Genomic DNA, 19,588 nt, shown 5'->3' with positions numbered 1-19,588 from the left:
CTCGGCCTCCCAAAGTGCTGGGATTACAGGCGTGAGCCACCGCGCCCGGCCCAAATGGTGATATATTTAAAATGCTTCCACTTGGCAAATTATTTTCAACTCTGCCCCCAAGGGAAAAAAAAAAAGGAAAGAAAACGCTGTACAGCCGGGCTTCTCCAAACTCGATGACAGTAGAAGGGACTGATTCCCAGAGAGAGCCGGCCGCGCGCCCAGGGACGCCAGCTGGACGCGTCCGTGTCCGGGTGGCCCAAGACAAAGCCCTGCGTGGAGGGCCCCTCACAGGCCCCAATCGGGCCGCCCCCTCCGCCCGCGTCCTCGGACCCCACGTGTAGGTCCCGGGAAGCGCGACCAGGAGGAGCGCGGGTCAGGGGACCGCGTGCCGGAGAGGGTGTCTATCCGGGGGCCGGGGGATCCCGGGGCGCGAGAGAGGCGAGGGCCGGCGGTCGGCGTGGGAGGGGCGCGCAGATGATGCAACCGCTCTGGCGCCGCCGCGCGCTCTGATTGGCCAGCGCCTGGCGGCCGCGCCCGGATTCGCTGGCGCGACGGGGGCGGGGCCTGGGTGCGGGTGCCGCGTGGCGGCCGCAGCGCTGAGGGGTGGGTACGACCCGCGCACGGTAGCTGGGTTGGGGTCGGGCTCCGGGAATGGTGGGCGGCGGTCGCCGGGTGGGGCGCGACGGTAGCCCAGTTCTGGGCGGGGTGGGAACCCAGACGGGGGACCCCTAGGCGCCGGGCCCTCCCTCTCCCCGTACTTTTCCCCCTTCCCAGTCATTTCTTCTGCGGAACCTCCACCCCTCCAGTGGGTGCGGGACCCTAGGCAGCAGGCCAGGCACCGCCGCTCTGACTGGGGGCCCCGAAGCAGTTAACGGGCCGGACAGCAAAGTGGAAAGTTAGACCAGCTGGGACCAGGGGAGGTGGGCACCCGGCTGCGGGAGGAGCGGCCAGGCTGGCACTGCCCCCCTAACTTGCTCTCGATCCTGCCGGTCTCGTCCCGCAGAGCCGGTGCCATCTGTGGGGGCTTTGGGCCAGGGGTCTCCGGACAGCATGAGCGTGGGCTTCATCGGCGCTGGCCAGCTGGCTTTTGCCCTGGCCAAGGGCTTCACAGCAGCAGGTAGGCCCCCAGGTGGGGGACGGTGAGGCCCAGTGGGAGAGACTGGCCTCTTTCCACTTCTGCAGGGCTGGGGGCTGAAGGTGGGTGCTGGGTCACAAGGCCTGAGTCCTGCGGGAACTGGCAACTTCTGTGTGTTTGGGGCTTTACCTGTGCTGTCTCACTCTTCTTCCTGGGAATGGGGAGGGAGGGAAGCCAAAGCTAGCCATGAAGAGGAACTGTTTCCGGCCGGGCGCGGTGGCTCACGCCTGTAATCCCAGCACTTTGGGAGGCCGAGGCGGGCGGATCACGAGGTCAGGAGATCGAGACCATCCTGGCTAACACAGTGAAACCCCGTCTCTACTAAAAATACCAAAAATTAGCCGGGTGTGGTGGCGGGCGCCTGTAGTCCCAGCTACTCGGGAGGCTGAGGCAGGAGCATGGCGTGAACCCGGGAGGTGGAGCTTGCAGTGAGCCGAGATTGCGCCACTGCACTCCAGCCTGGGCAACACAGCGAGACTCCGTCTCAAAAAAAAAAAAATAATAAAGAACTGAAGAGGAACTGTTTCTCCCCTCAGGCGTCTTGGCTGCCCACAAGATAATGGCTAGCTCCCCAGACATGGACCTGGCCACAGTTTCTGCTCTCAGGGTAGGTGCAGATGAAAGGGAGAAAGGAGACTGAGTCCCTGTGGGGCTGGGTGTGAGAGGCAGGAGTGTGTGCTGTAGCCCCCACCCCAGTGAGGGCAGGGGCCCTGGGCTGGGGTCTCATGGACCCCACCTCCTCGCCCTGCTGATTGCTCTTGGGACCTGGGTGGTGGGCGTGTGTACAGCTGATAGGAGGGTGTTGTTCTGGAATGGAGTTCCCTGCACAGGGTTAAAGTTTCGAGGGGTCCTCTGGGGGCCTGGCAGGTGGGGCCACAGCCTGGCAGCCAAGGAACACACCTGGGGGCTGCTTGAGACCACCACTCCCACGTGGAGAGCCCGGTCTGGAGGACGGCAGTCCCAGGCTGGGGGCAGATTGGTGGCATGGATGGAGGGTCCTTTTCTGTCTGCAGCAGGGACATATTCCACACAGAGTTCTTCCTCCATTTCTGGGTGGGAAGGGTCATCAAGGGGGTGGTCAGAGCCCTGAGCCCCCAGCCCTGCCCACCCCCAACTCCAGCATTCTCTGTGCCATTCTACCTGTGGGGCTCTTGGCTTGGTGGGGGTACAGACAGCCACGGGACCAGGCTGAGCCCACCTGTTGCCCCTGCAGAAGATGGGGGTGAAGTTGACACCCCACAACAAGGAGACGGTGCAGCACAGTGATGTGCTCTTCCTGGCTGTGAAGCCACACATCATCCCCTTCATCCTGGATGAAATAGGCGCCGACATTGAGGACAGACACATTGTGGTGTCCTGCGCGGCCGGCGTCACCATCAGCTCCATTGAGAAGGTAGCACCGCAGGCCCAGTGGGGTGTGGAGAGGGGCTGTCTAGAGCCCGGGCCCTCAGTACTTCAGTTTTCATCTGCAAAAGGGTTGCAGCGTCCCGGCCCACTGGGAGAGCTCGGGCACTGCTTGGTGGGGTGAGTGCATCTAGGCACTGCGTCCATGGCCAGACGGACACGCTGGTTTCTCTTCCAGAAGCTGTCAGCGTTTCGGCCAGCCCCCAGGGTCATCCGCTGCATGACCAACACTCCAGTCGTGGTGCGGGAGGGGGCCACCGTGTATGCCACAGGCACGCACGCCCAGGTGGAGGACGGGAGGCTCATGGAGCAGCTGCTGAGCAGCGTGGGCTTCTGCACGGAGGTGGAAGAGGACCTGATTGATGCCGTCACGGGGCTCAGTGGCAGCGGCCCCGCCTACGTAAGGACTGCGGGGGAAGCTGGCGGCGGCGGGCACTTCCCGGGACCACCGGGCACATCTGTCCCTGCTCCCCCTGGGAGGGCCAGGGTGGAGGGCTCCAAGGCTGTGGGAACTGGAGCTTGCCCAGAAGGGAAGGAGGAGAAGCCCAGGAGAGAGGCTCAGGGTGCCTTCTCCCCACAGGCATTCACAGCCCTGGATGCCCTGGCTGATGGGGGTGTGAAGATGGGACTTCCAAGGCGCCTGGCAGTCCGCCTCGGGGCCCAGGCCCTCCTGGTCAGTGTGTTTCCTGACCCTCTGGTGGGGCCACTCTTTGCGGGGCCCTGGGGCTTCACTGGGAGGAGCCAAGTGGGGCGTCAGTGTGTGCTACAGTGGCTGGGGCAGTGCCCCGCAGAGGCAGGTGCGTGCCCACAGCCGTCAGCCTTTCTTCTGGCTGCAGGGGGCTGCCAAGATGCTGCTGCACTCAGAACAGCACCCAGGCCAGCTCAAGGACAACGTCAGCTCTCCTGGTGGGGCCACCATCCATGCCTTGCATGTGCTGGAGAGTGGGGGCTTCCGCTCCCTGCTCATCAACGCTGTGGAGGCCTCCTGCATCCGCACACGGTGGGCCCCCGCGCTGCCCGCTTCCCTGGTCTCCAGTCCTTGCATGGCAGAGGCCTCTCTCACACACATCTGCTCATTCACGCACTCAGCAGATACGTATTGAGCTCCAGCCCAGTGTTGCGCAGGACACAGGGGGCCCCGAGGTTCCCTGGGTTACTGTGGGCAGTGCCCCTCCCCACCTTCCGTTTCCTGCGAGGAGGGAACATCCATAGAGGGACCCGGATGCTGTGCCCTGTGCTCCCCACATAGGTTCACCATTGTCATAGCTAGGAGTGTCATTTGAGCCAGGGGCCACACCAGTGGGGTGGCGGGGTGGCCAGCCACATTAGGAAACTTCTGTGGGGGCCCACCTTCCTCCTGCCCTCGCTGTGGGATTAAGTTAGACCAGTAGGACACGCAGCAACATCCAGGCACAAGGAAAATTCCATGGAAGGTGAAAGAAGCAAAGAGCAAGAGAAAGACAGAGTTTGCTGTTTGCCTGGGATCCCACAGCTGGTCAAAGGCAGAGCCAGGCTGGGAGCCGCTGTCCCCAGTTCAGGTCTGCAGGGTGGGTGAGGACGTCTTTCTCGCCACACTGCCCACTCTCCAGTCCAGACACCCTCAGACTCTGCGAGTGCCACCCTGTAACAGTGAGGGGAACACGAGGGGCCTGGCCTCACCTCCAGCCTGCAGGGGAGACAGGTGTAAACCCACATCCCGTGGTGGGGCCACGAGAACTCAGGTCTGGGGGGCACTGCGGGGAGATTTGGTGATGCTGAGCTGATTCGAATGAGGTGAGAAGGAGCCCAGCAGCTGTGTGGGGGCGTGTCGCTGGCAGAGGGGAATAAAGGTGCTGAGGTGAGGGTGACAGCATCGCCCAGGGCTGACTGGCACTGGGAGCTGTGGGCTTCACTCCCTCTTCCTGGGTGCACGCTTGTGCTCCAAAGCCAACCTCTCCCTGCCTCTCTAGGGAGCTGCAGTCCATGGCTGACCAGGAGCAGGTGTCACCAGCCGCCATCAAGAAGACCATCCTGGACAAGGTGAAGCTGGACTCCCCTGCAGGGACCGCTCTGTCACCTTCTGGCCACACCAAGCTGCTCCCCCGCAGCCTGGCCCCAGCGGGCAAGGATTGACACGTCCTGCCTGACCACCATCCTGCCACCACCTTCTCTTCTCTTGTCACTAGGGGGACTAGGGGGTCCCCAAAGTGGCCCACTTTCTGTGGCTCTGATCAGCGCAGGGGCCAGCCAGGGACATAGCCAGGGAGGGGCCACATCACTTCCCACTGGAAATCTCTGTGGTCTGCAAGTGCTTCCCAGCCCAGAACAGGGGTGGATTCCCCAACCTCAACCTCCTTTCTTCTCTGCTCCCAAACCATGTCAGGACCACCTTCCTCTAGAGCTCGGGAGCCCGGAGGGTCTTCACCCACTCCTACTCCAGTATCAGCTGGCACGGGCTCCTTCCTGAGAGCAAAGGTCAAGGACCCCCTCTGTGAAGGCTCAGCAGAGGTGGGATCCCACGCCCCCTCCCGGCCCCTCCCTGCCCTCCATTCAGGGAGAAACCTCTCCTTCCCGTGTGAGAAGGGCCAGAGGGTCCAGGCATCCCAAGTCCAGCGTGAAGGGCCACAGCCCCTCTTGGCTGCCAAGCACGCAGATCCCATGGACATTTGGGGAAAGGGCTCCTTGGGCTGCTGGTGAACTTCTGTGGCCACCACCTCCTGCTCCTGACCTCCCTGGGAGGGTGCTATCAGTTCTGTCCTGGCCCTTTCAGTTTTATAAGTTGGTTTCCAGCCCCCAGTGTCCTGACTTCTGTCTGCCACATGAGGAGGGAGGCCCTGCCTGTGTGGGAGGGTGGTTACTGTGGGTGGAATAGTGGAGGCCTTCAACTGATTAGACAAGGCCCGCCCACATCTTGGAGGGCATCTGCCTTACTGATTAAAATGTCAATGTAATCTAATGCAAAAGTCTACAGATTCAAATGTTAGTCTCATGCAACCCCTCCCCACCCCTGCCAGAAACAGAATAATGTTTGACCAAACACTCAGGCACCCTGTAGCCCAGTCAAGTGGACACATACAATCACCCATTCCAGGAGGCCCACAGGATTGGAGGAGCTGCTGAGGGTTGGGTTACAAGGGCCAGGGGTGCTCTGGTTCCTTCAACCAACACATAGTTACTGAGTATGGAGACAGCAAGATGAGGCCCCCTTCCCTCCAGAGGCAGTGCACACTGTGTGAGGGGAGCTGGGCTGGGTAGCAGCAGGGTGTCAGGGTGTGCAGGGGGGTCCCAGGTGCGCCAGGAGTCAGGGTATGCAGGGGGCTCCAGGGTGTGCAGGGGTTAGGAGAGCTGAGCAACTTTCTGGAACTTATCCCGGGAACTCATTTCCAGAGACCCCATAGGCTCACTGCAGAACCATGCTTGGTATATATGGGGCGTGTAGAGGGCGCTTGGGGAACAGAATCCTGCGTTTCCCCCGAGGGAGGGAAGACATGCAGGGGAACAGGGAGGAAACGCTGCGGCAGGGCAGATGGCATGGGTACATCCTCCACCGCCACTCTCCCCCTGGCAAGAGTCCTGGCCACTCCCCATAAAACGAGTACCCACCACACCCAGGCACAAAGGGGACGGTAGGTGGGGTGAGTCCCTGCTGTCTGGCTGAGATCTGGCAGTGCAGGAGCTAAGCGGGGGACACAGATGGACGGTGCTGGGCCGGGAGTCCCTGCAGGCTCCCCTGAAGGCCCCCTCCTGTATGGGTGGATGTGGGCATCAGGGCGGGTGGGGAATGCCCTTGTGTCAGGGCTGTGAGCAATAGAATAACCCCCTGCCCCAGCAAAGCGCCTGGCAGTGCTGGGAGACCCTGGCAACTCCTCCCACCTGGGCAGAGGTGCCCCCAGAAGAGATTGTCCCACAGGCCACACGCCTGTCCCAGGACCAAAGCTGCCCCGACCATTCCCCTCAAAGCCAGTTTCCCTGCTAGCGCCCATTCTCAGGTGCTGACGCAGAGCAAGACGAGGGGCGCGGGGCTGCCAAAGGTGCTTCTGGTCCGGGGACACAAGGGAAGCCAGCAGGCGACGCGGGTTTCAAGTGAGGCAGACTGGTCTTGGGCTCCAGAGGAAGCACAGGGAGGTGAGGAGGTGTGTGGGGGGCTGCAGACGGGCTTTGCAAGGAGGCGTTTGCTTCAGCAGGCGGGCCCTAGGAGCTTTCCCACTGTGGGTTCCTGATTAAGCAGAGGCCAGAGGCAGGTAGAGCCAGAGTCCACAGGAGGCTCCTGACGTGCGTGAGAAGTCTGGGGAGGTAGGTGAGGCAGGCTGTGGGGAGGTGGACACCCAGGAAGCCACAGAGCGTGAGGACGGGCCCACCCCAAGTAGCAACATGTTTTATGTGGGCCTCAGCAGGTCAAGGAGGGAGATGGTGCCGGGGGCCAAGGACCCAAGGATCCTGCCAAGAAGCGTCGAAACGCTGCCAGGCAGAGGAACCCTACAGGGGGCCCCTGGGGGCTGGCCAGATGGTGCTTTCCCTGCTCCTGTCACCAGCAGCTCTGACACCTCTCAGTCCTGGAAAGCCCCCTCCAAAAATGAAGCGGTTTGGAGTGAGTCCCCAGCAGGCCAGGTGGGCCCTGGAGGAGGAGCTGCCCGCCTCTGCTTGGCTCAGCTTCTGCCCCCATTTATTTTTCATTTTCCTTTTTTTTTAGAGAGGTTCTCTGTCGCCCAGGCTGGAGTGCAGTGGTATGATCACAGCTCACTGCAGCCTGCAACCCCTGGGCACAAGCAATCCTCCCACGTCAGCCTCCTGAATAGCTGGGACAACAGGTGTGCACCACCATGCCCAGCTTTTTTTTTTTTTTTTTCTTGTAGCGATAGGGTCTCTATGTTACCAATGCTGGTCTCAAACTCCCGGGCTCAAGCGATTCTCCCACTGCCTCCCAAAGTGCTGGGATTATAGGCTTGAGACACTGCACCCGGCCTGCCGCAGTTTCTTGGTTGGAATTGCCCTGACTCCAGCTTGCCAGCTGGGGCCCTTGCCCTGCCCAATTCTGCCACGCCTCTTCAGTGCCCGGCTGACCCCTGTCCATGGTACTTGTGCAGGACAGGCTCAGACTCTGGAACCAGTGGGTCAGCAGCCCCTGGCCAGGCAGAGATGGGCAATGTCCACCCTGGGAGGGCCCTGCCTGGAGACCAGGGAGAGCAGGGCTGGACTGGACCCGTCTGGGTGTGGACGCTAGCACCTCCCTCCCGGCAGCATCTGGCTGAGATCTGCTGCTCTCAGGAGGAACCGATGGGGTCTTAAGGTCAGTCCCACAGAAGCTGCAGCCTGGGGCGGGAGGATGCCGGGGAAGTGCCTGCGGGGCTCAGTCCCACAGAAGGTGCAGCCTGGGGCGGGAGGATGCCGGGGAGGTGCCTGCGGGGCTCAGTCCCACAGAAGCTGCAGCCTGGGGCGGGAGGGTGCCCGGGAGGTGCCTGCGGGGGCCAGTCCCACAGAAGGTGCAGCCTGGGGCGGGAGGATGCCCGGGAGGTGCCTGCGGGAGGAGGCATCCAGCTGTGACGGGAAGTGAGCTCCTGGAGGTGCAGAGAAGTCCAAACAGGGAGCCAGGCCTCAAGGCCGCACTTAAAGCCGGTCGTGGAGATGAGTGTGCGGAGTGAGAGGGATGCTTGGAAACCTGTGGGCCTCTCTCGCAGTATCCCTCTCAGTACAGTAGCCTTTCGCGGTTCTGGTGGCCTCATGGTTTGGCCCAAGCATGGCTGCACCACTGTGTCCAGGGACAAGTGTCCTGGGCTCTCCGTGGGGAGCTGGCCAGGAGCCGCTGGGGAGGTGAGGAGATCTTCGTGCAGAGCCAGTGCCAGCCCTCACTGACCACGGAACACCTTCAGCTCTCTAGGAGGACAGGGAGACAGGTCCTAGGGGTTTGGCTTGGGCTGTTTCCACGTGGCACCTCCCCTCCCTCGATACTCTTTCTACAAGCCACCGTATGCTACTCTGCAGGTGCCTGGGACCCCACCCACCCCAAGAAGATTCTGGGGTGAGGGGCAGCAAAGGAGCCTGGGCAGCTCCCTGAGTGTCCTCCCCAGCCCGTCCTGCCCATCTCTATGACAGTGCCCAGGGAGGGGAGGACTGAGGCTCCTTCCCAGGAGAAGACAGCACCGCAGTGAGGACGATTCATAAATCCGTTCCAAATTCGCGCGGAGGTGCAAATGAGAGCGGGCTCGACCCTGTGAGGAGGAGTTGGGGTGTGGGAGTGAGTGGGGACAGCCTGGTGAGCGTCTGCCCGCGGGGTGGGGGCTGCCAGCCCCAGGGCCAATCACCCCTGGCTCCTGACGGCACCGTGGCTCCAGCTCCCGCTGTGTGGCACGGAGGGCGGGTCCTGAGGAGACTCGGGGGCCCGCCAGGTCCCCGCTGTGTGGACCTAGCCCTCACCGCCCAGCAATGCACGACTTCACCCTCCCGCGGAGCAGGATGCCCAGCGGCTCAGGGCGCCCTCCCCTCGCCAGCCCAGTGTGGTGTGGTAGGATGAGGACGCGAGCAGGGAGGAGAGGCAGGAGACGGAGCTGCACTCCTGGCCTCAGGGCCCCGTGTGCTGTTTTGTACACTAAGGTTGAGGCCTCGGAAGCCACGCCAGGACCATATCATGCCCCTAGAGCCTGTGAGACTCGGGCTGTGTCCAGAGCAGGGGGAGCAGGTCCCCGACGACTAAGGACACCACCGTAAGAACCACACGCAGCCCCACAGCGCACACGGCGACAACGTGCTGTGGGGCTCGGAGGAGTTCCTGGGGTCTGGCAGGGACAGGCGGAGGGACGCTTCTGAGCCTTACACCTCACGGCTTCGGGACTTTGGGGCCGGCCTGTTCATGGACGGAGCCCAGGAGGACCCCACAGCCCGTCCCCGCCCCTTCCTCCCCGCTCACCTGCTGGCGGGGCGGCCACCCTTCCCCTCCCAGGATTCACAGCTGCGAAGGGAAGAGGGTGGAGGAGAAAGTCCAGACACGGGATCCCCCGTTTATCTTCCTCCCGAGTCCTCGCCCCCTACCGCTGGGCATCTCCAACAAGCAGCGAAGTCTCCCCCGGGCGGAGCTCTGGGTACACGTGGCGCAGGAAGGGCCTGGGCAGCTCGGGGTCTGCTGCGCGGGCGGGGATCGCCCCTCGCTGCTGGGAGCTGCCAGGCCGTCCCCGCCCCGCGCCGCTCCGGGACCCCCGAGTTGGAATCGCGGGGCCCCGGCGGCGCCGTCCTGACGCAAGAGCGCCTCTGCCTGGCAGGGCCCAGGCCGGCACTCGAGGGGGCGCACGCAGAGCCTGCCCTAGGCTGAGCACTCGAGCTGGAAAACGCCGCCGGCGTCCGCGAGCTTGGACAGGGGCCCTGGACGGCGGGCGCAGGAGCCAGGCGAGGCAGGCTCCGGCTGCAGGACGCCGGGGGCTGGGGGTGGAGACCTGGCGCTTTGGCCGTGCGCCCAGGCCCGCCCGTGAGACCCCGCCAGGCGCTAGAGCAGCCAGTGTTGCCAGGGACGACGGCGCGCGGGTTGCGCATGCGCAGTTTGCCCTCCCGCCGCCGCGCCTTCCCCTTTAAGCGCCGGCCGGCCGCGTCGCCGCTTCATGAATGGAGCCCACGTGACCAAACATCATGTGACGTCTGTGGAGCGGCGGCGGCGGCGGCGGATCCCGAGCCTGGTCCGGCCCGGCCTTCCCAGTGCGCTCGGCCCGGCCCGCGCAGGCGGCGAGTCCTCCGAGCCCCGGGCCCGGACCCCTCGCGCCGGTCCCTGCCCCGCGCGGCCTCGGAGCGCGCGCGGCCCCGCCCCGCCCCGGCCTCGGCCCGCCGGGCCCGCAGTGTGGTGAGTGCGGCTGCGGCGGCGGGCCCGGGCGGTGGGGGCGGCGCGGCGGGGGCGGCGGGGGCCGAGGGGGCGCGCAGGCAGGGCTCCTCCCGGAGCTAGGCGGGCGGTTGGGGGCCCGGCGGCGGGGGCCGCTGGTTTCGGGTCTGCCGCGCACCCTGCTGGCGGCCCGTGCCTCGATTTCCCCAGCGGTCAGGAGCCAGCTCCTCCTGCCCCTGGCGCCCGGGTACTGGAGGTGGGCCGCGGGCGGCGGCGGACCCGCGGAGCCGGGCGAGTGCGGAGCGGACTCGGAGACCCGGGCGTCCTGGAGGGAGGGGCACTGGACGGCGGGAGGAAAGGGTGGGGTCGAGCGAGGCGCCCGGGGGTCCGCGCCAGGGCCCGGCGGCCCGGCCCGCAGCTGCTGATTCATCCGGTGGCCGCGTCAGCTCTCCCCGGCGCGGGGGTCCGCGGCGAGCCCGGGAGGAGGGGCGGCGATGGGGGTGCTGCGGGGAAGACCCTGCCCCTGGCTGGGGCTCGGGTTCCGTCAGTCGCGTGCCAGAGCCCGGAGGGAGACTTGCTGAGTCATCAGCGTGAGGTCACTCGGTGCTCAAGCTGATACCGGAGGGGATTCGAGCGAGGGGCCTCGGGGACTAAAAGGCCGCCAGCGGGAGGTGGGAGGGAGCCGTGGGGATGTGGGAGGGGGCCAGGCCCGGCGCCTTGGGGTGCCTGTTTAAGTGAGCGCCGAGCGATCCAGTTGAAGGCAGGGGTGCTTGAAGAGGAAGTGGGGGTGGCTCGCTGCAGGTGTTCTCCCGGGGTCAAAGGTGAAGCCCCGGGCGGTCCACCCCTTCCCAGGCGGCTCTTTTCCGGCAGCTGGTCCTGGTCCCAAGTCTGGAGCAGTTTTCCAAACTGGGAAATAGTTCCCTGAGTGAGGGAGGGGAGGAGCTTCGGTGGGCCGAGCTAGCCAAAGGGGAAGTCGGCTTTCCCTGGGACTGGCCTGGTTGGACAGCCCCTGGCCAGAGATCGAGGTCCTGGGAGAAAGAGGGGTGTGTGTACCAAGCCCTGGGTGACAGTGGGCTGGGCAGGGAGGAAGCAGGGGCAGCTCTACCAGGAAACGGCAAAGGGGAGGAAGCAGCCCAGCCTCTCTCCCCAGTTGGCCCTGGAGTCTGGGTTGAGACTGTAGGTGGTGGGAGCTTCAGGGTGCCTAGCCTTGGGGTGCAGCAGATGGGCTGGTGTGGATGGCACAGGGTGGCAGAACGCAGCACCCAGCCACCCTAAAGTTGTCGCTACCTGAAGTGGGGTCTCAGCGTTGTGTGAAGTTAGCAAAGGGAGTGGCCCTGTTGGGTGTCTGGCCTGGCAGCCCAGGACGCTTAGAAAGTGGCAGCTTGGGAGTGATGTGGCCAGAGCCACCTTTCCTTGGGTATGTGGAGATTCACGAAGGTTGACTTCCTTTGCCCAGGAGTTCATTTCATGGCTGGGTTAGGCTACTTTGTGGTTTGCCCTCAGGGATGCCCCCCGCCCCCCGCCACACACACACACACACACACACACACACACAGGTCCATTCTCAGTGAGCACCCCCCACACATACACACAGAACACAGGTCCACTCTCAGTGAGCCCCGGGGCTTATAGATTCCAGATGTTTCAATGTTTTAGCTGACCGTTGGCCTGGAGTTTGATGCCCTGGGAAAATTTTGGGGTCCTGGAGGGACATTTATGTACATCTTTTTTTTTTTTTTTTTTTGAGACGGAGTCTCACTCTTTTGCCCAGGCTGGAGTGCAGTGGCGCGATCTCAGCTCACTGCAAGCTCTGCCTCCCAGGTTCACGCCGTTCTCCTGCCTCAGCCTCCCGAGTAGCTGGGACTACAGGCGCCCACCACGACGCCCGGCTATTTTTTTGTATTTTTAGTAGAGACGGGGTTTCACCGTGTTAGCCAGGATGGTCTCGATCTCCTGACCTCGTAATCCACCCACCTCGGCCTCCCAAAGTGTTGGGATTACAGGTGTGAGCCACCGCGCGGCCCATTTATGTACATCTTCTCAGTCACTTATGCATCAGTGGAAACTAAGTTTTAGGTTCTGTTCAAAGAGTGACTTTCAGGAGCTGAGAGCTTATGGAGCAGAGGCCATGACTGCCGGGGAGTTTCGGCCGCTGGGCTTTGCAGCCAGGTGGGGCTGTCTGTGTTCAGGCACGGGAGTTTCTACTTTAGCCAAAGGAGACGGAGCTCCCAAATCTCCCTCCCTTTCCTGGCTCTCAGTGTGAATGGGTGGCCTAGGTACCCTCGCAGGTTGCGGAGCCGTGACCATCTGTGCCTCCTGCGTGAGGTGGGCTTATTAGCCTCTGGGAGCAGAGGGTGCATGACAGGCCCCAGCTCTGCCCAGCCTTGAGGGCTGGAGGAGGGCGGGGGCAGCTTCTCCTCAGTCCAGCTCCTGGGATCCCTGCATGGTCCCTCTCAGCCCAGGTCCAGAGGCCAGGCCAGGAGCCTGGAACGCACTGGCTGTGCTCAGGGCTGCCCCTCCCCCACCCCCCGGCGCACCTTTGATAGGAGGCGATGGCTTGCACTTGTGCTGAGTTCAGGCCTTCTGCGGAGGGCAAAATCTGTCGAGGAGGCACTTTTCCGTGTGATCTCTTCAGGAAGTCACCACTGTCATTGTGCTTAGCAGCAGGGGTGGGGGCGATGGGGGTGGGAGAAGCTGGTGCCAGGGCAGTGTCTCTGCACCCTGACTTGCACTCAAGGCTGGGGGGCCCCTCCATGCTTGGCTGAGGGCCTGTCTCCTGGGGCAGTGTTGTGCCGGACGTGTAGGAAAGGGCTCCTGTGGGCCTTCTGACCTCCAGCTCAGGTCTTCCCCATCCTTTATCTGGAAGAATCCAGTGGCTGGAGCCTCGGGACCTTGCCTCTGAGCTGGCTTGGCTGTGGGGAGGGGTCTCTGGCCTCCCCTCCCTGCTCTGTGCTTGCAGCCTCACCTCCTGGTCCCAGGCTGGGTGAGGTGGAGTCTTGAGCCTGGTGAGGATGTGTGCATCCGCCTGGCCACACTTCAGCTCCCCTGATGAGAGTAAGAAGCCCCCCAGCCCATAATTTCCTGAAGTGATCCTAGCTCCTCTGGAGGAGTCTCCCATCTGTCTGCATCAAACCTGGAAAGTGGGGGATGGAGCATGAGGCGGGGGTCCATGCCCAAGGGTCTGGTGGGAGCTGGGCTGAGCTGGGAATCCCAGAAACATCCTTAGCAAGAAAGTGAGAGCAGAGTGCTGGAGGGACCCCGAGTGGGGAAGAGTTGGTTGTTAAGTCCGGCCACCCCAGCACTTTTGTTTTTGCTCCCTGGCCCTGTGGGCACTCACCCGGGGCAGGGACCAGAGAGCAGGCTGCAGCTCGGAGGGGCTGACTCCGCCAGCCTTCACGTTGGGCAGGCCCGGGGTGGCTCACTGTGGGAGCCCTTGTGAAATACCCTGGATGGGGTGGGGCAGGGGCTGCTTCCTGCAACCCAAAGCCACAGGATGGTTACTCCATCAGTGGAGGAGGCCGACTGGGAGGTCTAGAGGGGCCTCGGGCCAGGCTCCTCCCAGCTGATGGCCTGCCACCTGGAAGGTGGGGGAACTCCCTGGTCAGTCCTGCCAACAGACCAGAGCTAGATGGACGGCCCACCCCCAGCTTTTCAAAGTTAGGAGGCTGGGAGACTCGGGGTTCCCTGTAGCCTCCTCTCTGGCCAGGTCCCCCGTGGGGCCCCTGTGCACCCAGGGAGCAGGGGGCTTTGTCCGAGGCCGGCTCAGGGGAGGTGGCTGTAGAAGGTAGGACCCTGGAAGATGCACACACAGGGTCACTGGCTGGCCCTCACCTGCTATTGGCCAGGCTGGGGGCTGCGGCTCTCGTGGGGCGCTGTTGGCTGGCGGGCCAGGGAGTGCGGGCGCGGCGGGGAGGCAGAGGCAATGTGCTGAGTCAGCGTGACTCGCCAGGAACAGCCGCGCTCTGGGCAGTGCCGGGGTTATTTTTAAAGCTCCCGGCTTCCTTCTAGGCCTGCCTCTCCCGCGTCTTATTCCTTCTAATCTCTCCCCTGCCCCTTGTCTTGCGCCTGCCTTCCTAACAGCCTTCAGTTCCCCTTCTCCCGTCAGACCTTCCTGACCTCCCACCTGGTTCTCTAGGGGCAGGGTGGACAGGAAGCAGCTCAGCCCAGCCTGGGAGAGGCCAAGGGCTGCCTCCTATCAGGTATTGGGGGCTGGGCACCTGGACAGCAGGCTGGGGCGGGCTGTGCGGCAAGGGCTCTTGTGAACTGGGCCGGGGGCGGGGGGGGGGGGGTGCGGCGAGGGTGGTCTCCAGGGTACTGACCTGCTCCGTGTCTTGCAGAGAGCGCCTGCTCGCTGTGCCCCCGGGTTATGACGACCCCCAATAAAGGAAACAAGGCCTTGAAGGTGAGTGGGCAGGGACAGGAGCCTGTGGGCTGGGGTCGGGGGGCACAGTGGGCGTGCCCGCTTGGCCTGTGACCACCTGCACTGTGCCCCAGGTGAAGCGGGAGCCGGGTGAGAATGGCACCAGCCTGACGGATGAGGAGCTGGTGACCATGTCGGTGCGGGAGCTGAACCAGCACCTGCGGGGCCTGTCCAAGGAGGAGATCGTCCAGCTGAAGCAGCGCCGGCGCACGCTCAAGAACCGCGGCTACGCTGCCAGCTGCCGCGTGAAGCGGGTGACGCAGAAGGAGGAGCTGGAGAAGCAGAAGGCGGAGCTGCAGCAGGAGGTGGAGAAGCTGGCCTCAGAGAACGCCAGCATGAAGCTGGAGCTCGACGCGCTGCGCTCCAAGTACGAGGCGCTGCAGACCTTCGCCCGGACGGTGGCCCGCAGCCCCGTGGCGCCAGCCCGGGGCCCCCTTGCCGCCGGCCTGGGGCCCCTCGTCCCAGGCAAGGTGGCCGCCACCAGCGTCATCACAATAGTAAAGTCCAAGACGGATGCCCGATCGTAGGGACGCGCGTCTGCCCAGGCGGGTCTTTGCGGGGCCACTAGGCACATGGCGAATTTGGCTGCCCTGTCCCTCTGTTTCCTTCTCTTCTCTTTCCTCCCTCTCTTCCCCACCCTTCTCTCTTCCCTGCAAAGCACAACCTGTACCCCAGGGGCGCCGGGCTGAGCCCCTTTGATCTCGTCATTGTCGTCGTGTGTTTTGTATGTTGGGATTGGTCAGTTCGGCGGTGACGTGGGGTCGCCCCAACCCCTTTTGTACCAGGGCCATGCAGGCTTGGAGTCCAGAGTTGGTGCTGTGGGAACGGACTAGAGAGAGTTGCGGGAGAGAGAAGGAGCAGGCACGCTGGGCCTCGCGTGTCCCCGAGCAGTGAGGGTCCCAGTGTTCCCTCCACTCCCGAGTGGCCACAGGCTCGCGGGCTGGGAAGGATTCACTCTCTTTAGCCCCAGGGGAGCAGCTCAGCTTAGCCCAGCATGAAGAGATGGGCTCTGCTCTGAGAGTAGGGCGGGCTTGAAGGCCCTGATGGGTGGACCACCAGCCTGGGCGCAGTGGTGCTGGGGGCGTGCAGCTGGGCCCAGGGGCTGTGCACTCAGGCCTGACCCGTTGCACTGAACAAGACCAAATCTCTGGTTGTGCGCTTAACGTGAGGGTGGGTCCAGTGTGCCCTGCGATGGGTCCCGTGTCACTGTTTACATGACCTATTTGTGTGGTTATATAGCCCTTTATTTAAAAGAGAGAAGTTCCTTTTACAAAGTTATTAAATTAATTATATGTTTAAAAGTTAAAGAAAAAAGAGCTGCAGAGTATTTATAAAACTGTCTTTTAGAAAAAAAACAAGCAAGAAGACCATTTGACCATATGAATGGAAAAGGGAAGAAAGTATAATAGAAACTTTGCTAGTTAAAAAAAAAAGAAAAAAAAAGAAAAAAAATCCCTTTCTTGTAAACTTACGGACACCTCTTTGTGGCTGTTGGAGTTTAGTTTTTATATACACAGAGTTATCAGACATTATTTATAAAACTTAGTTTAAAAAAAAGACAAAAAAAAAAAAGCCAAGCCGTGAGCCGACCAGAAGGCCGTCCTCTTTGATATCTTTTGCAATTGTACCGAAAGTGACTTACTCCTCTGCCCTTCCTGCTTCCGTCTCTTGCCGGTGCCGTGGTGTCGTCCGTGCCTGGTGAGGTTTTGTGCAGCGGTAAAGTGCTGGTGCTTCTGGTGACCTTTGACCTGTGGGTGTCACTTCTTGTGTCTGTTTTCCCGTGTTCGTTTTTTGGGTTTAGTTGTGCTTTTGCTTCTGCTGGCTTGCTGGACCTGGGCTGGGGTGCCAAGTGGCGCCTGCTGCGTCAGAGCTCAAGGAATCTGTGCCCACCACCAGCTCCTGGTCCGTAGGAGGTGAGACATGGGGTTCTGTCATGCCCCCCTCCACTGAGCCTTGGCTACATCTGTGTCTAGGGCTTGGGCTGATCTAGTGGCGGGGTAGGTGAAACTGGGGTCCCTTGGGGCGCCCCACGCTGCTTCCACACCCACCACCTCTGGCCTTGGGTGGTGGCATTACAGGGATGAGGGAGTCACTGTGGGTGGCCACAGGGCTATGGCCAAGCGTTCCCTGGCCGTCTTCCTCTGGCCTCAGCTTTGTTCCTATAGGCTGCCCGCGCCGTGGGCTGCAGGTCTCGCCGCCCGCTTGATCCCTGAGGTGTTTCCATGCTGCGGGTGGTGCTTCCAGGCAGAGTGGGTGGGGGCCCACCGGGCACCGCCCTTTCTTCCTTGTCCCTGCCTCACTCTGAGAGCCTTGGGGGTCTCCACCAGTGCAGACAAGGGCTACAGTCTCCAGGGCCGGGTCTTGTCCCTCTTCTCCGCTGGTCCACGCTGGCAGCTCTTGGCTTCGGGCCTGCCTTCTGCCTCCCTTTGGGATCTGTGTCTTCCAGGGATCAGCTGCTTGGCTTCTGCTGGAGGTGCCTCCCTGTGGGGGCGCAGCCTGCCTCCTGCTCTCAGTTCCTCGCCAGAGGCTGCTGCCCTTCCTGGCTGGGCTCAGGAGGCTCCTTGTAGGCATATGATGGGGAGGGGGTGCCCCTACCCACCTCCAAGAGGCTACAGCCCTGTGTCTGGCCATGTGAGCCCTGGCCTTTCACCGGGTTGCTGGTTTCTTTTCTGTGGGGCCCAGACTTCTGTAAAGCACACAGATGTGGGTAAGATGAAAAACTGTGGCCCAACAGGGCTTAACCCTATGGATGGTGGGATTTTTATCCAATAGTTTGGCCTGGTGTGCCCACAGGATGGGAACAGGGAGGCACCATCAACACTTGTCATGTTAATGAGCTTTTCTTTGCTCGAGGTGTTCAGAGACAAGTCCTGTGTCTACCTGCGTCAGCCTGAAAATGGAAATATTGGCTGTTGACTCTTGTCATTTAGTGACTTCATCCCCCTCCCCTCAGTCTGATCTTGTCTAAGTAGAATCCAGGCGTTAGTTGGAATCATATCATAAGTATCCATGAAGAAAACGTCATGATCTGCCTCGGAGTGGGGAGAAACAGGCCCTCCTTGTCCTTGTGCAGCCCCCACTTTTGTCCTGGCTGTGGGTGGCCATCCATTTTGAGCACCTCTGCCAGGCTGCAGACCTGGAGGCGAAGGGAGTGTGGAAGAGGAGGGTGTAAGGGTCGACGCGTGCTGAATGGGAGGTGCAGGTCCTCGGTGCGTTGGCAGAAGAGGCTTCTGGAGTTTCGAGGCCATACCTCCTTTCAAGAGCTTTGGATTTGGGGCGACTTCCCTGGGTCTAGGGGAGTGTTCCTGTCCCCTGTCAGGTCAGCCCTGCGGAGCCACTCCACCCCTCTTCCCCTTCCCCTGGATTTCCTGACATAGATGGTGTGTTCATGTGCAGGTGTGAGTGTGCTGTCCTTCTGATCTCTGTTGATCCCGCTTTCCTACTGAGAGGGTGGTGGAGAGGGTGGTGGTCTCTTCTCACCTCAGTTTTTCTGACACAGCGAATCGAGGGCTTTGGCCAAGGCCAGGTCTCTCAAACTTGTCCGCCAAGTAAACCATGATATATGTCTTCCCTTCCACCTTAACTTTGCCCCAACTCCTCTTTTATCCTAACATGGACGCTCAGATTTCAGAGGAATACCCAGCAGGGACAGGTCAGCTCTCACCAGGAGAGTGAGGCCCCTGGCTGCTGCTCGGGGTGGCACTGGTGTTGCTGGCTCAGCTCTTGGTGCATGTTTCAGATATGTGTGTACACTTCTGACTGGTGATCAGGGCCCGGCCCACGGCCCTGAGCGGCTGCAGCCTGCTTTGGGACGATGGTCAGGTCCCATGTTGTCCCTGCTGCCTCCCTCTGGAGTGGCCACTTGGCCAAAGCGCCCATCCACATCTGGAAAGTCGGAGCCGCAGCCTGCTGCACCGTTTCCGCTCTGGGATCTTGTGAGTTACTTTTTTAGGCTGTGGTTTGGTGAAAGGAACCAACACATTAACGATTTTTCCCCCAGAAGCCACTGAATAATTCTTTTTGGTGTATTTTTGCCTTCCTGTTGGCTGTCTGGCCTTGGAGCAGGTCGGGAGAGTAGAGTACATAATCAGTGCCACACAGAGGCAGGGCGTGTCTGAGAGACTAATGCCTGTCCTGCCTCTGGCCTGTGTCCTGGGTGTGTACCATACCTGCTGGGCCAGTCCCACACATTTCCACCCTGCCCCTGGAGCAGCAGCTTTGATACCATGGGTGTCCCTTGAGTCTGAGCTAGAGTGTGTCCCCGATAAACTGTGAGACCTCCCTGTTCTTGGTGACCCCAGTTGGGCTTTGGCCCCTCCAGCAACCTTGTGTCCCAGCCCTGCCCTTCTTCCCACCCCCTCAATCTGCTAGTCCCTGAAGCCTTTAACCAAACGGGAGTGGGCACAGAAAGCCTTCTCCTGGCAACAGGACAAGGGCTGCCCGCGTGTCCAGCCCTGTTGCTCTCCTGGCGCTGAGAGGTGGGTCCAAGCAGAGTTGATCAGTCCCTGCCTGCCCTGCCTAGGTCTAGCCAGGGGAGGTTGTGTGTGTGGGAGAAGACCCCGGGATCTGCTGGGGTGGGATGGAGGTTATTAAAGATCTAAGTGAGGAGGGGCTGGGGTTTGGATGCGGGGTGAGGCCCGAGCGCTCACACTTCGTGTAGGGCGGGCAGGGGCCTGACCTCTTGCAGGGCAGTGGCCTTGGTGCCCTACCCCTGCCCTGCGCAGTATTTATTGCTAAATTATTGTCCAGGAGGGGCAGCACTGGGCCTGGCCCCCCGGGTATTTATTGCTGTACATAGTGTATGTTTGTGATATATAAGGTTTTCTTTATTTTGTATATGATCAATAAACCTTTTAAAGAGACT

The 19,588-nt window shown here is 61.8% G+C and overlaps 2 protein-coding genes and 2 long non-coding RNA genes across 22 annotated transcripts, besides 8 other annotated features; 2 read left to right on the top strand and 2 right to left on the bottom strand.

Moving 5' to 3' along the window:
* Positions 183-792: a silencer, noted in NCBI's record as "silent region_9172". NCBI's record gives its function as "represses an Ori minimal core promoter by ATAC-STARR-seq in GM12878 lymphoblastoid cells {active_cell/tissue: GM12878}" and the evidence as "EXISTENCE:reporter gene assay evidence [ECO:0000049][PMID:35858748]".
* On the top strand, positions 556-5,465 carry PYCR1 (pyrroline-5-carboxylate reductase 1). 13 transcript variants are annotated; one of them, NM_001282280.2, is made up of 8 exons: positions 556-594; positions 995-1,108; positions 1,663-1,733; positions 2,340-2,519; positions 2,709-2,930; positions 3,111-3,203; positions 3,367-3,530; positions 4,480-5,465. In NM_001282280.2, exons 2-8 carry the CDS (start codon positions 1,042-1,044, stop codon positions 4,640-4,642), a joined length of 960 nt encoding a protein of 319 aa, NP_001269209.1. In that variant the 5' UTR covers positions 556-594; positions 995-1,041; the 3' UTR covers positions 4,643-5,465. The 13 variants fall into 13 exon arrangements, with proteins under 13 accessions (NP_001269209.1, XP_005256438.1, XP_011521886.1 ...); XM_005256381.3 differs by having other exon boundaries at positions 556-614; XM_011523584.4 differs by having other exon boundaries at positions 556-628.
* Positions 6,612-19,586, top strand: MAFG (MAF bZIP transcription factor G). Of its 7 annotated transcripts, none has more exons than XM_047436070.1 (3): positions 6,612-6,634; positions 14,642-14,706; positions 14,799-19,586. In XM_047436070.1, the coding sequence occupies exons 2-3, from the start codon at positions 14,671-14,673 to the stop codon at positions 15,249-15,251; spliced, it is 489 nt and encodes a 162-aa protein (XP_047292026.1). In that variant the 5' UTR covers positions 6,612-6,634; positions 14,642-14,670; the 3' UTR covers positions 15,252-19,586. The 7 variants fall into 7 exon arrangements, with proteins under 7 accessions (XP_047292026.1, XP_047292027.1, NP_002350.1 ...); XM_047436071.1 differs by lacking the exon at positions 6,612-6,634 and adding an exon at positions 6,690-7,796; NM_002359.4 differs by lacking the exon at positions 6,612-6,634 and adding an exon at positions 10,121-10,328.
* On the bottom strand, positions 7,103-10,027 carry MILIP (MYC inducible lncRNA inactivating p53). The gene is made up of 2 exons (NR_015454.1): positions 9,411-10,027; positions 7,103-8,380 (listed from the first exon to the last, which is right to left on the bottom strand). It is a non-coding gene; the product is annotated as an MYC inducible lncRNA inactivating p53 (long non-coding RNA).
* Positions 9,528-10,047: a silencer, noted in NCBI's record as "silent region_9171". NCBI's record gives its function as "represses an Ori minimal core promoter by ATAC-STARR-seq in GM12878 lymphoblastoid cells {active_cell/tissue: GM12878}" and the evidence as "EXISTENCE:reporter gene assay evidence [ECO:0000049][PMID:35858748]".
* Positions 10,198-10,287: a silencer, noted in NCBI's record as "silent region_9170". NCBI's record gives its function as "represses an Ori minimal core promoter by ATAC-STARR-seq in GM12878 lymphoblastoid cells {active_cell/tissue: GM12878}" and the evidence as "EXISTENCE:reporter gene assay evidence [ECO:0000049][PMID:35858748]".
* Positions 10,668-10,717: a silencer, noted in NCBI's record as "silent region_9169". NCBI's record gives its function as "represses an Ori minimal core promoter by ATAC-STARR-seq in GM12878 lymphoblastoid cells {active_cell/tissue: GM12878}" and the evidence as "EXISTENCE:reporter gene assay evidence [ECO:0000049][PMID:35858748]".
* Positions 11,498-11,587: an enhancer, noted in NCBI's record as "active region_12985". NCBI's record gives its function as "activates an Ori minimal core promoter by ATAC-STARR-seq in GM12878 lymphoblastoid cells {active_cell/tissue: GM12878}" and the evidence as "EXISTENCE:reporter gene assay evidence [ECO:0000049][PMID:35858748]".
* Positions 12,095-13,050: an enhancer, noted in NCBI's record as "H3K4me1 hESC enhancer chr17:79882682-79883637 (GRCh37/hg19 assembly coordinates)". NCBI's record gives its function as "activates a minimal SCP1, AML or CMV promoter by ChIP-STARR-seq in naive H9 embryonic stem cells {active_cell/tissue: H9 hESC(naive)}" and the evidence as "EXISTENCE:reporter gene assay evidence [ECO:0000049][PMID:30033119]".
* On the bottom strand, positions 13,345-14,957 carry MAFG-AS1 (MAFG antisense RNA 1). The gene is made up of 3 exons (NR_186500.1): positions 14,624-14,957; positions 13,642-13,777; positions 13,345-13,437 (listed from the first exon to the last, which is right to left on the bottom strand). It is a non-coding gene; the product is annotated as an MAFG antisense RNA 1 (long non-coding RNA).
* Positions 13,748-14,947: an enhancer, noted in NCBI's record as "MED14-independent group 3 enhancer chr17:79880785-79881984 (GRCh37/hg19 assembly coordinates)". NCBI's record gives its function as "activates an origin of replication core promoter dependent on BRD2, BRD4, P300/CBP and CDK7 cofactors, and independent of MED14, by STARR-seq in HCT116 cells {active_cell/tissue: HCT116}" and the evidence as "EXISTENCE:reporter gene assay evidence [ECO:0000049][PMID:35650434]".
* Positions 19,431-19,480: an enhancer, noted in NCBI's record as "active region_12984". NCBI's record gives its function as "activates an Ori minimal core promoter by ATAC-STARR-seq in GM12878 lymphoblastoid cells {active_cell/tissue: GM12878}" and the evidence as "EXISTENCE:reporter gene assay evidence [ECO:0000049][PMID:35858748]".

The sequence above is a fragment of the Homo sapiens genome, chromosome 17 (genome assembly GCF_000001405.40).
Source record: "Homo sapiens chromosome 17, GRCh38.p14 Primary Assembly".
Classification (NCBI taxonomy): Eukaryota; Metazoa; Chordata; class Mammalia; order Primates; family Hominidae; genus Homo; species Homo sapiens.
The sequence above is the reverse complement of the archived record's forward strand: the minus strand, read 5'-3'. Positions and strand labels throughout refer to the sequence as shown.